At 47.5% G+C, this 17867-nt stretch overlaps 1 protein-coding gene across 4 annotated transcripts in view; it reads left to right on the top strand.

Annotated features, from left to right (window-relative positions):
• The window catches only part of SLC2A9 (solute carrier family 2 member 9), a 269246-nt gene continuing 251878 nt past the window's right edge, over window positions 500-17867 (top strand). For 3 of the 4 annotated variants that reach the window (XM_011513858.2, XM_047415973.1, XM_047415975.1), the window contains exons 1-2: window positions 11655-11752; window positions 14764-14866. In XM_011513858.2, coding sequence (XP_011512160.1) covers window positions 14804-14866 — 63 coding nt within the window. In that variant the 5' untranslated portion in view covers window positions 11655-11752; window positions 14764-14803. Of the gene's footprint in view, window positions 641-11654; window positions 11753-14763; window positions 14867-17867 lie in introns of those variants that run through there. The other variant, NM_001001290.2, reaches the window with a different exon arrangement.

Below are 17867 nucleotides of genomic sequence, written 5' to 3'. Positions count from 1 at the left end.
GCTCTCACAGATAAAATCCCCTAAGCTTCAGAAAAGGAGTGTGGCTCTGCGGTTGCTACTGGGTTGATGCAGAGAGCACAGAGCAACTGCACAGCAGTTTCTCTTGTGTCTGGTGGATAGCTAAGCATGGGGAAAGATCAAGGGTATGGGGGCTGCCGAACTTCAGTTCCAGGTCCTGGCTGTGTGACCTCAGGCGAGTTATTTGACCTCTCTGAATGTATAAAATGGGAATGGTAGAGCTTCTGTATCACAGGAGTACACAAGACAACACGTAGAAAGCACTTACACTAACAGGTAATCAAAAGTCAGTTTTCTCCCTGGGGATGTGAGCAGCCACCTGGAAAGAGGGTTACTTAATGGCATAGCGCAGTGTGAATCTCCCTTTCTGTTTCTTTGCTTGGCATTACCCGATGATTAATTTTGAAAAGTTACTCAAACAATTACAATTCAACTTGGTCAACATCAGTTCTCACAAATAGAAGCTGACTGTCATTTATTCACTCAGTTCCTGTTGGCTGAGTGTTGGCTCTAGGGCTGGCACCAGGCACTGGAATTAAACATTCTGGACTCCAGAGGGGCATGAAAACTCTTCCTGAAGGAGATGCAGAGGAAGATTCGAACTGGAGGAAAACCCTAAAATGTGAGTAGGAATTGGTCAGGCCAAGAAAACAGGCAAGGGTGCTCCTGGTTGGGGGAATGTTGAATGCCAAGGCAACGACGGGAGCAGGGCAAGGTGTGTGGGCAAAGTGGAGCTCTCTATGCTGGGAGCCGGTGGTGTCTCTGCAGGTCATGTGCCAGGGGCAGGTGGGTGCAGAGGAGATGTCACTGGCACAGTGCTGCCCTGGAACTGGCGCTCATTGCAGATGCTTGCAATTCCCTCCTCCCTTCCTTTCTTCTTTCTTTCTTTAAGTGAAGGCTTAATCTAGAACTGAGCAACTAAAAGCCATCTAAGGGTTTGGAGCAGAGAAGCAATGACACTGCCTGCTTTTGAGAAAGATGACTCCAGGGATGCTGTAGAGAATTGGACTGGAGAGTGGAGATGGGCCATGGTGAGACCAGTCAGCAGGCTGATGTCCAGCCTGCTGGAGAAGACAAGGGCTTGGACCAGGAGGATGACAGTGGGGATGGAGGGGACCAAGTTAGAACCATCTTCAGAGATAGAACCCCCTGAATGTGGGGATCCAGGAGAAGGAAGGCAGCGAGGAGGATGAGGCAAGTTATTTAGGCGTCACCTAGCATAAGCAGGAGGGAGGTGTTTGATGTTATTGTTCATGAAGATAGAGAATAGCGGAGGACGAGGAGGTGGGGGAAAAGAAGTGTTCACTTCATGGGAAACTACAGGTTTTGTTGGAAATGGCTTTTGCATACCTTCCAGTTTCCTCTGGCCCTTCACGTCCCATCTTGCACTATCTGCTGTTGAGCACAGATGGACATTCATTCATTCCCTCCTCCATGCACTGGCCCTCCACCAGCTTCCAAAAGGCTCACACTGCATGTGCATGAGGGTGCTCCACTGGGCACTGTTAAGTGTGTGCGGCACTTACACTGTCAGAGAAAAGTTCTGAGTAAGGCAGTTCTACTGAAAACTGTTAAGGGACATTCCAGGTCCATTTCTGCAACAAGCATGAAGTCGGAGATTCATTGAGCTCACATGAACACTCTAGAGCAGGGTAGCAAACTTTGACTCACATGCCAACTGGGCCAGCTCCTTGCTTTTTAAAATAAAGCTTTACTGGAACACAATCATGCACATCTGTTTAACCATTGTCTACGGCTGCTTCTACACTAGAACGGCAGAGTTGTGAGAGCAACAGAAATTCCATGGCTAGCTTAGATGAGACTATTTAGCCACCTAGCCCTTTAAGAAAAATGTTGATCCTGCTCTAGTGTGCTGCCATCTCTGTTTTGTGTGAATGAGTGTTTGACAGTGACTGAGGGACCTTGGTGCTCTTTGCCTAAAAGCCCTCCATGCCTAAGAATCAAGTTCGGGATCCTTAGCTTGCCGTCCGAGGCTCTCCCGGGATGTGAAGCAGACATGCTCCATGTCATTGCGTAAAACCTTGGTGTAAAACATCAAGATCCATCAAGCGACTTTAAAATGTCCATTGCATTTAGTTCTTTTGCCTTGAATTTGACACAGTAGTTCCATTGATTGAAATCTATTTTAATGGAAGAATCCAAGTGATAGAGGAACACTTTGTTCCGTGGCCTGGCTGTACCCACTTGTCTGAACTAATTTTTTTTTTTTTTTTTTTTTTTTTTTGAGACAGAGTCTTACTCTGTCACCCAGGCTGGAGTGCAGTGGTGCTATCTCGGCTCACTGCAACTTCCATCTCCTGGGTTTAAGTGATTCTCCTGCCTCAGCCTCGCTAGTAGCTTGGATTACAGGTGCCTGCCACCATATCCACTAATTTTTGCATTTTTAGTAGAGACTGGGTTTCACCATGTTGGCCAGGCTGGTCTTGAACTCCTTGACCTCAAGTGATCCGCCCGCCTCGGCCTCTCAAAGCACTGGGATTACAGGCGTGAGCCACTGCACCTGGCCTGGACTAATTTTTTTAAAGGCATCACCCCTCACACACACTTCACAAATATACACATACTATGTAAGGGACTCACAAATGCAGAAAGTCTTAGGGAGAAAAATCAAAGCAAGAAAGAGGCCCAGAGTGCTCAGGACCATTTTCCAGACAGTGTGATGGGGACACCTTGTCTCAAGGCCAACTCTCTTCCTGCCAGACTCACCTCACTCACCTCCTCCTTATCACAGCTACCGTGGGTCCTGCCTTTATTTATTTATTTATTATTTATTTATTTTTGAGACAGAGTCTCATTCTGTCACCCAGGCTGGAGTGCAGTGGTGCCGTCTCAGCTCACTGCAACCTTCACCTCCCAGGTTCTAGCGATTCTCGTGCCTCAGCCTCCCGAGTAGCTGAGATTACAGGCATGCGCTACCCGCCTGGCTAATTTTTTGTGTGTTTTTAGTGGAGACAGGGTTTCACCATGTCGCTCAGGCTGGTCTTGAACTCCTGACCTCAAGTGATCTGCCCACCTTGGCCTTCCATAGTGCTGGGATTACAGGTGTGAGCCACTGTGCCCAGCCCCTGCCTTTATTTAAAATGTTGACATTTTGTTTGTGATAAAGTTAGGTTTTTTTCATTCATTTTATTTTTTAAACTGTTGGATTAATTATTATTTACCTTGATGACTGAGTTTTCAGTATTCTCTTTAATTTTGATTCCCAGACAACTGCCTCAGTCACTTCACCCCAGTCTCAGCTCTGGGAGGAGCAACTGAGGAAGTAGAGAAAATGTAAAGAGCACTGTGTCGAGGAGGCCAGGAGAAAAAGGTTTGCCCAGAAGAAGGCTAATGCGACAGGATGAACATCAAAAACATGACACTAAGTGAGAGAAGCCAGATACAAAAGGTCATATACCGTACCGTATGATCCCATTTTTATGAAATGTTCCGAAAAGGCAAGTCCGTAATCTAGAGAGGCAGAACACAGTTCAGTGGTGGCCAGGGGCTGAGGTCTCATTTTGAGATGATGACAATGCTCCAAAATTAGATTGTCATCATGGTTGCATACTGCTGTGAGGGTACTAAAAACCGTTAAATTGTACTCTTAAAATGAGTGCATTTTATGGTACATAAATCACACTTCAACAAGGCTATTAAAAAGAAAGATGGCTGAGTAGGCTGAGGATTGGGAATTAAGCATTGAATGACTAAATAAATGAGTGAATGACTCAAAGGCAGTATTTCTGAACAAGGTTGTGCAGCAGGATTTGAGAATGCTTAACAATTAAGTCTAGAGGCCCCGCTTGCTCCTTAGCAAGCCCAAGGAGGAGCGGTGGGCCACACAGCCTCCTGATACTTACCAGGGTGGAAATCCCGGACTAGAATCCTTTTTGGAACATGAAAGATCAATACGCATCAAGAGATTTAAAAGCATGCACCGCCTGTTGTTTCTGTGCATTGCCTTTTGATACAATAATTCCATTTCTTGAAATCTGTGCTAAGGATAGAATCTGGATGATGGAGGAATGATTTACCCATACGTGCTCACTACAGAGCTGTGTGTAGTATTGGAAAAAGGGAGAAAACCCAAATGACCGACTGGTTAAATGAAATATGGCCGAGTAAAAGATAGAATGTTAAACAGCCATGTAAAATGATGCTAATGTTGAGGAAAAATACACTGGAATGGAAACTGGAAAAAGCAGGACAACAAAGGGTAAAGAGAATATTGAAACCACCACATGGAATTGTGTGTGTAGCGTAAACACCCAATAGCAGCACAGCCACAATGTTATGGAAGAGCGATGGCCTTATGGATTGGTTGAATTTTACTCTGTGATATGCGCTTTCAGCACTGTGATCAGACATTTCGTACACTATCTCTTTTCATCTTGACCCAAAGTCTGGGACTTAGTTATTCTTTTTTTTTGGTCAATTTCACAAATGAGGAAACTGAGGCTCAGGTTTACGGAAATGTGTATGGGGTCACACAATTTGCAAGTGATGGAACCGAAGCCCAAAGGGGTGGAACTGGGCCTTCTCAAGTGTAGTTTACTCAGGGTTCTCCAGGGAGACAGAAAACGTGTTATAATCTGTTTATATACACAGGACGTGGACAGCTAACTAGCTAGATGGATGGATGGATGGATGGATGGGATTTATTATGGAATTGGCTCACATGATTATGGAGGCTGAGAAGTCCCTTGACAGGCCATCTGCAAGCTGGAGACCCTGGGATTCTGGCAGCACGGCTCAGTCCAAATCCAGAAGCTTCAGCACCAGGAAAGCCAATGGTAATTCTCAGTCTGACGCCAAAGGCCTGAGAACCAGAGCAGTGGATGGGACGCTGGTGCAAGTCCTAAAGTCCAAAGGTCAGGGAGCTCGGAGTTCTGACCTTCAAGAGCAGGAGAAGAAGAGTATCCCAGCTCCAGGAGAGAGACAGACAGAGAAACAAAACAAAACAAAACAAACAAACAAAAGAAATGCCTTTTTTTCTGCCCATTTTGTTTGATCTAGACCACCAGTCAATGGATGGTGCCTGCCCCCCACTGGAGGGCAGATCTGCTCCCTTCAGTCCACAGACTCCCACACCAGTCTCCTCCAGAAACGCCGTCACAGACACACCCCAAAGTGAGGCTTGACCAGCTTTCTAGGGATTCTTTAATTCAGGCACCTGAAATTAAGCATCACACCCAGGATCCATGCAGGTATCCCTTCAGCCAGCCCATGAGGTGGGGTTCATTGCCCTTATTCCACCTTCGAGATGCAGAAGGTGAAGTCTGGAATCGTTCAATTATGGCTCAGTGCCAAGCAACCAGCATTGAGAGGAGCTGGGATGCCTGTGGGTGGCCCAGGATGAGCTCCTGAACATCTTAGTCCCCCAGGAGGCCAGAGCATCCCTGATCTGAGAGTGAACAGAAGGCCTGGCACCAGGCCAAGGGTCGAGGCAAAGAGGACTTCGCTCCACTTCTGTTGAGAAGTGTTCTTTGTACCCAATGGTACAAAGACCAGGGATTTTGGTGACACAGCAGCCCGAGCCCAGCCTGGGTGCCTAGGATGCAGCTTAGCTGGTCAACTGTCAGTACTACCAGGACTTGGCCCTTGGAAACCTGCGGGGTGGCAGTGCTCTACCAGGAGGGGGCCAACTCGACAAAACCAGAAAGGGTGAAACGTCCTGCACCAGAGAGTTTCAGACATCAGCGATGGACTGGTTGATTGGTAGTGTTTTTGCTGAGACTGATGGTGGACTCCCCATCTGAGAGATCCCAGATTCCTTCAGGTCAAAGGTCAGCAGCTACACTGGAGCTTTCCTGACCCCCATGTCCAGGTACAAAGAAAACCCATCACCTGAGAGCCAATGGCCTCCAGAGCTAGTGTGGCAGAGGGGGCTTGGCTCACGTGTCATCCTGCTTCTTTCTTGCTGTGTGACTTTGGGCTAGTAGCTTCACCTCTCTGAGCTTTGATTCCCCCACTGATGATCAAACATTTCTAGTGCCAGGTGCTGTTCTAGGAGCTGTGTACCTACTGTTTCAATCCTCATAACACTCCTGTGAGGCTGGCATCATTGTCTGCACACCTGTTTACAGATGAGGACACAGAAGCCCCATGAGTGGAAGGGATTTGCCTCACGCCACAGTGAACAAGGGGAAGAGGCAGGATCAGAACTCAGGGAGCCTGGCCGCGAGTCCTGCACTGCTCACAACAGGCTCCAGCTGCCCTCGTATGAAGACAAGAGCTGTAAGGATGAAGGCACACAAAATGCCAAGTGAGAGCTCTGGCTACAGTCCCTCTCACCATCTCCCAAGGCAAACCCTGCGGCTGTGGCCTTGGCTTTGCCAGAAACTGATTCCATGCTGCTCCCCCAGGGGACCTCGAAACTGCAGGTGTGCCAGGACATTCCTGGCTGACAAGTGCGGGGTCGCAGGAGGGCTGGACGGCGTGCCTCTGTGTCCATCAGCTCCTTGCGTGGGTGCGCTCATGTACGGGGTTTAATGAATGAAATGATTAAAACCTGGAAAAATGTGTATTGAATGTATGCTTCAGTTTGACTCCATACTTTTCTTGTTTCTTTTGAGTCATGAAATAGTAATAGTTCTCCAGATTTGTTACTTTTCTTCTTTTGATTCCCCCAAGGGGATTTAGGAAGCCGATCCAGCACGGGACGTTCTGTGGTGTATATGTCAGGACTGGCTCAGATCAGGGAAGATTGGTGGGTGCTGGGGGTGCTGCTGAGGGGAGAGAGTCAGTAAGAGAAAAACATCCCCGGGGACAGAGTAGGAGAAAAGGGGCTGGCGGGGGAAGCCCTTGAAAAGGGCGGAAAGCTCTGCAGGGCAGAAGGGCTTGGGATGACATTAGCCCTGGGGCTTAAGGACACAGGGCCCATGTGGTTCTTTAAGGGAACAGTTTGGGTGGCCCTCGCCCTGGATTTCGGACACCACCACCGGGATGACAACCCACGAGCACAGCGACACCCGTTTCCCACCTCAGCGTCCCCAGCCCCACCCAGGTCGGCCAGGCAGCTGCAGGTGTTGCTGAGTGAGTGGGTAAGCAGGCGAGTGCAGAGAGCTTGCTCACTGAAGCAGAGAGTGGGCGTATTGGGGTAACTAACACGGAAGTCTGCCCCTTAGACATGGACCAAGGCTTCAGCCACACAGCTGCTTGTCCCACATACATATTTTAAGCGGGCCAGATGCTCAGAGGAAGCCAGGCTGGGATATCTTAGTCCAGTGTTTATAAAACACTGTTCCTCATCCAGATGATTTCTGGGTAGATACTGAAGATTTCTTGGAAAAGGCAAGACTGAGGCTAAGTTTTGAGGGTTGAGTGTGTTCACAGAAGCAGAGCCGGGGGGAAGAGGGTGTTCTAGAATCATGCTTCGGCTGCCGGGAAGCCATCTGAGTCAGAAGGAAGCCGCCTGGGAGTAGATAGATGAGCCTCCAATGGAGACAGGAAGGTGGGAAGCAGCCGGGCTGATAGACAGTGGGGGTGACATACCGAAGCTCTAACTTACTTATCCCATCTGTTGCAAGACAAACAACCTTAGCTCTTTCCTGTAACACAATCCCACATAACACACTCGAGCAAGTGATAATAAGCCATTAAGAGCAGAAATTTGATTTTCATGGAGCCCTGGACAAAAGGAGGAAACTGAGTTAGACCCTCAGAGACTCCTCAGCACGTGAAAGGGATGAGGGAGGAGTCTGCACATAGGTGGGGTTTTGGGGAGGACTAAGGTTTAGTGAACAGCTCGGCAGTGCCCGGCTTTACATGCATCTTTTTAATTGCAGCACTCGACCTGCAAAGAGAGACTCAAATTTTTCTTTATGAACAAAGAATTGGTGACTCAGCTTGGTTACATAACTTGCCCATGGTCACGGTTAGGTCATCAGAACTGCAACCTCACTATGCCATTGAAGCCAAATTTCACTACCTTCCCACAAGATACTTCCTGGAGAGTTTTGAAAGAGGATAAACGTCACCTGTCCAGCAGGGTGTGAGAGCTGCACGGGCTGGGTAATGACAGTAGCTACACAGGTCTCCTGTTGACCATGGCCAGGGACTGTGTGCATGGAGGACTTGGCAGGGCTTGTCTCCTGTGATCCTTGGATTAGTTTACTATTAGTAGACTTGACTTGGTATGAGCATCATCTTTTATGTGGGCCAAATTTGGTCTCTGCTTCCACCTTGTCACCATCCCCCCATTCTCCCCAACCCTGACAGCCCAGCAGCCAGCAGCTCTTTGTAAAGAGCTCCCCTGATCATCCTCCAACCCCCTTGCCCAAATATAGAAACCATCTAGATTTCCCATGGCTCTTAGGCTGCAGTCCCACATCCCTAACCACGTCACAAGACAGGCCTTGACAACCCCACCACACCAGTCCCTGAAACCCTCACACACAAGCTCTTTCCAGCCCTGGCCCTTGCTGCTCCTTCTGCCTGGACCCCCACCCAACCCACAACCCCACATCTACAGATGTTCAGTTAATTCCCACTCCTCCCATCACATCAGAATTTCCTGATATTGCCTCTCTCATCACCTTACACTGCTTTCTAGAGTTTGCTATAATGGTACCTGAACGTCAATTTAAGTGTGTTGGTTAATTAGTCTGATGCCCCACTTGGTGTGAGGAGCTGGAGATGGGACTTTTCCCACCTTGTTGGCTCTGGGTCCATAATGCCTAGAATAGGGTGGGCCTGACACAAGGTAGGTGCTCAATATACACCATCGGATGAATAAGTGAACGCATGAATGAGTGAAGCTAAAACAAACACGCTGCCTCCTTTCCAGCGCCCTGTTTTGCCTCTGTCAGAGCACAGATAACAATATGCAGGAAGGTTCTTTTTATGCCTGTGACCTCTTGGTGACCCTCATTCCCAGTGCATTCCCAGGGGACAGTGGCTAAATCTTAATCAGCACAGTATTTACAGTGCTTGGGATCAAGAATGGGGTCAGTCTCAGGACATGGGACATCCTTCTCCAGCTCCGCTAACTGGCTGCTTCACTCAGTCTCGGTTTCCTGATTTCCACAAGGCAGGAGTTCTGCAACGGAGTCCTCCGGCCCCTTCCTGGCTAGGACTAACTTTCCAGAATTTCATAAGCAGAAACATTCACTCTTTTTTGTTTAAAAATGAAATAGATTTGGGGGATCCCCTCTAGCATCCTACTGTGCCCATTAAGACGATGCTTTGGAAGCCGTCAAAGACTCATCTTCTGACTACAGAGCTGTCTTGGGCTGCCCAGGAGCAGAGAGGCCTCCTTACCCACGTGGGAGAACACACAATGCATCTCATTGATCTAAAGCTGGTCTGGGAATTGCAAGCTAATTCGATTGGATCCGTAAATAATGCAGCCTGTTTTCAAACTGTGTGGCACTTTCATGCAATTAGGCTTTGCTGGGAATGAAAGGTCATGGGCCAGCCTGTTGGCCATGCAAACAATTGAATAATGAAAACTCTGATCATTACAGTGCTGATTATTAAAGCTGGACCTCTCTTATATGAGTGAAACTCTATCCTTTTGTGTCTCATGTTGGAAGAAATCAAAGGGAGGAAATGGCATGGGTGACAGTGCTAAATCTGGACTGTCTGCAGAGTGACGTGCTCATCTGAGCATTCCTGGTCCCTGGTGCCAGTCCTTTGGAAGGCCTCTGCTTAGCTGATATTACAAACCAGTAACACAAATGGAATCCCAGCTCCTCAATCTAAGCCCCCTGAAAGGCAGGGCCACTCACTTTTCTGCTCCTGACATGATAGAAAGCAGAGGCGTGCAGCTGGGGTTGAGTTCTCTGCAGCTAACTTCTTAGTTTTAGAAGACTCAGCTTTGGGAGCCCCTAAGCCCCAGTTTCCAGGTCTATGAAATGGGGCTGATCATGACCTCTGCTGAGGGCTGCTGCTATGCGCCATGCCATCACACATGCAAAGCGGCCTGGTGGGGTCTACTACATAAGAGGGGCTCGATAAGAAGAATCCTGTCATTTCCTAGATTTGGACCAGAAAGATGGGAAAGGCCTTTTAGCATCTAGTTTAGAGTTTCTCAAAACACGAAAGCCAGGATGACTTTTGGTTGGTTGTGGATGAGCACGTTTTTGTTTTTGTATTTAGAGGAGCTTTACGATAGGTTCACAGAAAAATTATGAGGAAGGTACAGAGATTTCCCACCTGCCCCCCTACACCCACACACTTGAATGGCCTATCACCCCCACCCTGAGCAACATCCCCTTAGGATGCTGCATTTATTACAATGTAAAAGGGACCTATATTGACACATCCAAATTACCCAAAGGTCATTTTGTACATTAGGGTTCACTCTTGGTATTGTACATTCTGTGGGTTTGGACAAAGGCATAATTACTTGTATTTACCATTATAGTATCATACAGAGTATTTTATTTATTTATTTATTTTTGATTGACAAATAATTGTACATATGTGTGTGGTACAATGTGATCTTTTGGTATATAGATGCAACATAGAATGATTCCATCAAGCTAACTCATCCCCTCACCTACTTACCAGTTTTCTGTGGTAAGAACATTTAAAATCTAGTCTTGCAGCAATTTTGAAATATACATTATTATTAACTATGCTCATCATACTGTACAATAGATTAGGAAAACTTATCCTCCTGTCTAATGGAAACTTTGTTCCCTTTGATAGACATGAACATGTTTTGGGTATTCATATATATGCATGTCTTTTTATGTATATATTTTACCATTAGATTTCATGCATATCATTACTTAAGATAGTGATTACTTTAAACAGCACCACACCTTGCAACAGCCCAAGGAGCTTTAAAAAAAAAATTTATCTCTGCCAGCCATGGTGGCTCACACCTGTAATCCCAGCACTTTGGGAGGCTGAGGCAGGTAGATCACCTGAGGTCAGGAGTTCCAGACCATCCTGGCCAACATGGCGAAACCCCATCTCTACTAAAAAAAACAAAAACAAAAACAAAAACAAAAATTAGCCAGGCATGGTGGCGGGTGCCTATAAACCCAGCTACTCGGGAAGCTGAGGCAGCAGAATCGCTTGAACCCGGGAGGCAGAGGTTGCAGTTAGATGAGATTGTGCCATTGCACTCCAGCCTGGGCAACAAGACCAAACTCCATCTCAAATAAAATAAAATAATTAAAATAAAATAAAATAAAATAATATAAAATAAAATAAAAATATAAAATAAATAAAATAAAATAAAATATTTAAAAAATTCCTCTTGTCCAACAAGGAGCCTGGCTTTGGGATTTTATACATTGTACATTTATACATTAATGAACAGCCAGGGTAAGAACCCCTGGCTTAGGACACAACCAAGTAAAAAGGATAGCTAAGGCTACCTAAAGCATCCCATCATCAAGGTGGCAAGCCAAGGCTAGAGTCTGGGAGGCACTGAGAAGCCAATGGTTTGGTTGGAGACTGTGCATCGGGGATAGGGCAGATTGGTGCTTGGTGAAATTCAGATGCCCTGCCCCATCTCAGATCCATTAAATGAGAATTCCAAGAGTTGAGCCTAGAAAATCTATGTCCTCGTCAGCCAACCTCGTCCTAGTCGTCTGGAAGGCATTCAGGAGCCGCTCATCTTACAAAGGTCAAGGCCACACCCAGTTAAAAACAGAGACACCCTGTGGATCTGTCCAATAGAGGAGACTGGGCAGATGTCAGCCCTCTGAGGATGTCATCAGGCATTTGGACTTGGATGACTGGAAGGGATTGAGCTGAAGCTTCACCCCAGGTCAGTGAGAAGCACAGAGACTGCAGTGCTGGGAGCACTGGGTGTGCTGTGGGGGAAGCTCTGTGATTAGTGCTTCAGACTTTGAAGGCTGGAAGGGATTGGGCTGAAGCTTCACCCCAGGGCGGTGAGGGGCACAGAGGCTGCAATGCTGGGAGTGCTGGATATGCTGTGGGGGAAGTTCTGTGATTAGTGCTTGGGAGGCACCGCTTCTCTGAGCCCATCCAGCAGGTTCCCTAGGACAGGAAGGAGGCAGAGGCAGCACTCTGACCTAATGCCAGGGTGCCTTTGGCAGGAATGTTCCCTGGGCAGCATCTTGCAGGAAGGTTCAGTTTAGACAGATTGCAGAATGGTAAGTAACCGCCCCCCTTCCTAGAAGGCACCATGACTTAGGATATTAAAAGTCTACAATTTACAAGTCTCTGCTAGGTGCTGTGTATGATGTCCATGCATTATTATTGGTCTCTATGCAGGGATAATGTTGTCCTTCCTGTGATGCAGGTAGGGAAGCTGAGCTCAGAGAGGTTAACTCAGTCGCCTGAGCTCACACAGCTGGCTGGGGGCAGACCCAGGGTTGGAACCTCAGCCAGTGTGGATGTCAAGGCCTTGTCTTCCTTCTTAAATCAAACGAGGAGCCAGGATGAGGGTCTGAGTCTTAGAACATCCAGCTCCACTTTTCAACCACTGAAATTCTGAGGGGACCTCGAGTGCTGCATTCGCATTTATGGGCTTTTCTCATGAAAAGGGAGTCACATTACTCCCAGTCATTTCTTTACCCAAGTTGTCAAATCCATATCAGGACTGACCCACCATGAAATTGCTTGGTCCTGTGGGACCCCCGATCAACCAGATGAGGGAGCTGAGGGCAGAGTGGCCTGGTGTGGCAGCTCGAAGGGGCTGCTTGGGCAGCTGGGTTCCTGGTCAAAGCAGCAGAAACCCTCCTGGAGGGGCCCAGGCAGAAAGGGAATTTAATGGGAGGCTCGTGAGCAAATCAATGGGGAGGCTGCAGATCCAGGCTCTGGAAGTGTGCAGAAAACAGCCTGGAAGAGAGGTGGATTCATGGATACAACAGATGGAAGAAATAAAGCCTGGTGTTCCGTAGATCAGCAGGGTAACTATAGTTATTAATCAACCGCACATTTCAAAATACCTACAAGAGGAGAATTTGAATGCTTCTAGTGTAAAGATAAAGATGTAAGGTGATGGCTGTCCTAATTACCCTGATTTTCATTATACAAATGTATCAACTTGTCACATGTACCTCCCAAATGTGTACATCTAATATGTATCAATAAAAAAAAAATGCCTGGGTAGGCAGTTCTACCCCCATTACCAAAGGACACTCGGCCCCAATGCTCCAGACTCAGGAGGCTGCCACCACTGCAACAGAAGCTGCCACCACTGTGACAGAAGCTCCATGGCACCACCGCACCACCAAGAGGAGAGGTCAACCTCACTGAAGATGCCGGGAGGTTGTAGGAAATTGACTGTTGGTTCTGGCAAGATGTGGCTTGTTGATGAGCTCATTCAGATCAATTTTAATGGTGCGGTGCTGAGGGGAGAATGGAAGCTGGGGAAGTGAGTTCTCTTTGGGATCGTTTTGCTGTAACAGGGAGCAGGAAAATGGGGTGGTAAACAGGAGGCGACGGGATCAAAGACACGTTTTTTTCTAAAATGAGGTAAAATCACATAGGGAAAAATTAACCATTTTAAAGTAAACAATTCAGCAGCATTTCCTACATTCACATTCTTGTACAGCCACCATTTCCATCCAGTTCCAAAACATTTCCATCACTCCCAAGGGCAACTGCTGCTTATCTGTGAGGCTGCTGCAGCCACTGCCCCTTCCCCCAGTCCTGGGCCACCGCTGATCTGCCTTCTGTCTCCACGGATTTGCCAATTCTGGACATTTCATATAAATGAAATCATAAAAGATGTCGCTTTTTGTGTCTGGGTTCTTTTTTTTTTTGTTTTTTTGAGACAGAGTTTCACTCTGTTGACCAGGCTGGAGTGCAGTGGCGAGATCTCAGCCCACTGCAACCTCTGCCTCCTGGGTTCAAGCAATTCTCCTGCCTCAGCCTCCCGAGTAGCTGGGATTACAGGTGCCTGCTAGCACACCCGGCTAATTTTTCTATTTTTAGTAGAGACAGGGTTTCACCATGTTGGCCAGGCTGGTCTTGAACTCCCAACCTCAGGTGATCCACCCGCCTCGGCCTCCCCACGTGCTGGGATTACAGGCATGAGCCACCATGCCCGGCCTGTGTCTGGGTTCTTTCACTTGGCAGAATGTTTTCAAGGTGCATTCATGTTGTAGCCTGTATCAGCGCTTCACTTCTGTTTATTGCTGAGTAATTTTCCGCTATATGGATAGACCACATTTTGCTTATTCATTCATTCATTGGAGGACACTTGGGCTGTTTCCACCTCTCGGCCATTGGAATATCATTGCTGTGAACATTCGTGCACAAGTTTTTCTTTGAGCAGCTGCTTTCAGTCCTCTTGGGCATCGATGTGGTGGTGGAATTGCTGGGTCATGTGGTGATTTTATGTTTAGAGAAACAAGCAAACTTTTTCCCACAGTAGCTAAACCATTTCACATTTCCACTAGCAAAGACAATCCTATACAAGGGTTCCAATTTCTCCACATCCTTGCCAAAAACTTTTAGTTGATTTTTAAAAAAAAAATATGGGTGACACTAGGACATTTTTGTACATAGCCCGGGGAGATCCAACACAGAGAGATAAATTGATGATGCAGAAGAGGAATGGGATCATTGCCTGTATTTAATAATCAACAAGGCAAGTGTGGGAAGCCCTGCACTCAAAAATAGAGAAACTGAGGACAGAGGAGAGCAGGGAGATGCCCAAGCGAGGATGCTGCTGTGTCCTATCCTGGCATCCCAGCCAGAGCTCCTCACAGCAAACCTTTCGAAGACTGCTCCAGGCCACCTCCCCTGACTTGCACATCTGAGAAAGCAGCTGTCTAATGGCTTCTTTCTTTTTCTCTTTCTCAGAAACAATAACAACAAAAGTTCAAAACCTGAAAAGTGAACCATGAAGCTCAGTAAAAAGGACCGAGGAGAAGATGAAGAAAGTGATTCAGCGAAAAAGAAATTGGTCAGTCCTTTTTTTTTTCTGTCTCCCTTACATGATTATTCCGGTCACCCAGGGGGTAGTACCCCTTTCCCCTGGGTCAGTGGGAGGCTGTTAAGGTGAAGCTGGGCAGAGAAAAGAGTGAGCAGCAGCTGAAAGCCAAGTTCTATGGGAAGGAGCCATGGGGATTGTAGAGTGTCTGGGATGAGGCTCAGAAGAGTGAAATTGACAGTCCTGATCTGCTGGTGACTTTCTGGGCTTGGGGCAAAAGTCTCCATTACAAAGGTCATTTCTCAACAAGGGGACATTGATGTTGACAATGATTATGTCATCATCGTTAAAGATACACTAAAACCCACCCCTTAATCCATCACAAAGCTTAGTCGACCTGCCCCTTCCTCCAGGAAGTCCTCAGCTCCTATTAATAGAATGACTTTCTTTCTTCTTGGGACTCATCAGATGCTCTTTTTAAACCTGATTCAAGAACCAACAGCCAGAGAGTGCCTACTCTGTGCTGGACCTTTACATAGGGCTCTCATTTAAAGAGAGACTCTTTACATGGTTCTCTCTGGATCAAACCATGCTGAAGGCATCACTGGCCCTATTTTACAGGCGATGAACTGAGGCTCAGAAAGGGATGAAGCCACTTGTCCAAGGCTATGTGGCTAGTACAGGTTTGAGCCCTTCTTAAACCTTGGATTATCTGTGCCTCACCTCCTGTGATGGGTGTGGAAGCTACTGTGACTCCAGGGAAAATTTATTTGTATTTATAATAAACCTGTATTTGGTAGGACAGAGATCAACACAAGTCCATTTACCAAGTTGTCAAGAAGGTGTGAAATTGGCAAGCTGAACATCATTGTCCCCACAGAGGTGTGAAATGGAGGATAAGGGTGCAGTCACCTGTTTGAGGTTACCCAAGACCCCACGCAAGAATAATGTCAAATAGACAGCAGTTCCCTCTAAGTGGACGCTATATCTTTTCTTGGTGCTTACATTAGGTGAGTCAAGGATCTACTGTCTAAGTATTTGGTGTAATGAAGGAAGGGATGTAGTCATTTCAAACATTCTGCTTAAATGATACTCAATAGAAAACCCCCCTTCTTTTCCAACTCTTCCCTGCTAGAAAACTTCCACCTTGTCCAAGACAACTTTTTAGCCTTAGGAAATCATCCGGAGGACAGTTTAAGGTCAGTTCCAGAAGTGATGCCTATCTACTGGACCCTGTCCCTGAGCCAGGCTGAAGGAAGTCTAGGAATACAAAGAGGCTTAGGACACTGTGGGTTTGCTGGGGCTGCCAAGACAAAGTCCCATAGACTGGGCAGCTTAAACAACAGAAATGTATTGTCTCACAGTCTTAGAAACCAGAAGTCCAAGCTCAGAGTGTCAGCAGGTTAGTTCCTTCTGAAGCCTCCCTTCTTGGCAGAAGTGGCTGCCTTCTCCCTGCGTCCTCACGTGGTCATCCCTCTGTGTGTGTCTGTGTCCTCATTTCCTCTTCCTATAAGGACACCAGGCATACTGGAATACAGCCCCATGCATATGACTTCATTTAACCTTAATTACCTCTTCAAAAACCCTATCTCCAAATACAGTCACATTGTCAGGTACTTGGGGTGAGGACTTCAACATGTGAATCTGAGGGGACACAATCAGCCCATTGAGACGCACACCATCCCTGCCCACAGTGAGCTCCCGTGCAGAGGGGAAGGCACACGTGAGCAGCAGCACACGTGCAGAGGGGAAGGCACACATGGAGCACAGAGGCAGCGAGAGGTTGGGGAGGCTGCTGGGAGGAGGTGGCGAGAGAGTTAAGTGCTGAAGGGTGAGCACAGTTCAGGGCAGTCAGAAGTGAGGGCCTGAGCAAGGTCAGGAGAACCTGAATGAGTAGGAGCTTCATAAAGACAGGCAAGTAATGACTGAATGAAGGAACCAGTGAGTGTCAGAGCAGGCAGAACGTGCCCCAGCCCAGAACATCTGGGGATGTTTGTCTTATGACTTCATCTGTGATAGGAGTCGCTTCCTTAGCAGTTGCCTGCAGTGCAGGGCCGATGGCCCTGTGGAATGGGGAACCAGCCCTCGCTTTGGAGGCAGGCTCCTCCATGCTCCCCCTGAACTTCAGTTGCCCCGAAATGTAGGTCTGATAGTTCCTCTGAGGACTAAACGATATCATGAAGGTGAACACACTTGGGAAAGCCCTGTGCACATGTAACATGAGCTGTGCACATGTAGTAGGAGCTGAAGGTGAGGCAAGTGCTGTGGCTACCAGGAACCCTGGTTAGCTACCATCTGGATCCGGGAGGGACCCATCTCCGCTCTTTTACTTTCTGTCCAGCTGTAGCTGCACATTCATGTCCACTGCCTAATTTCTGGTTCCTTTTGAGTTTTCAAACCCAACAGAGGACTACGAAGCAATTTTTAACGGGATGAGGGGACACCTGATCCAATTTGAGCTTTAGCAAAATCTGGTGAGGTCCCCACTGTTACAGATGAGGAAACAGGGAGGGTATAGAGAGGGGAGTCACAGCAATGGGATGAGGAGGGGTAAATGAGATGATGAAAATGCAGTCCCTATCAGGACAGCATAGGGGCAGAGGGGCCCTCCATGCACAGGGATGCAGCTGTCCCTGCCCCTCCTCTGCCCATCTCCTGTACTTCAGGCCCCAACCATGCTTCACTGACAATTTCACTTCCTCCCACACACTGCAGGCATCTGTGCCTGCAGGCCTTGGCTCCTTGTCCTCTCACCCCGTATCCTTCTCTGTCCGCTCAGAAGCCGCCTCTTCCAGCGGGGTCTCCAAGATCCAGCTGAGATTGATGTGGTGCCTCCTCCACACTGTCCTGGGGAATCCTCCGCCTTTTTAGGTCATGTTATAATTAAGGATTTGCACATCAGAATGCTGCTCTAGGCCCACCACTCAATGAGGAAACCAGGCTGCATAGCTGAAATCCAGTTCAAGAAACAGCCACTTCTCCCGGGGCATGCCTGACTGATTAACACACAGAAGGACGATTGCACTGAATGACT

The sequence above is a fragment of the Homo sapiens genome, chromosome 4 (assembly GCF_000001405.40).
Source record: "Homo sapiens chromosome 4, GRCh38.p14 Primary Assembly".
Lineage (NCBI taxonomy): Eukaryota > Metazoa > Chordata > Mammalia > Primates > Hominidae > Homo > Homo sapiens.
The sequence above is the reverse complement of the archived record's forward strand: the minus strand, read 5'-3'. Positions and strand labels throughout refer to the sequence as shown.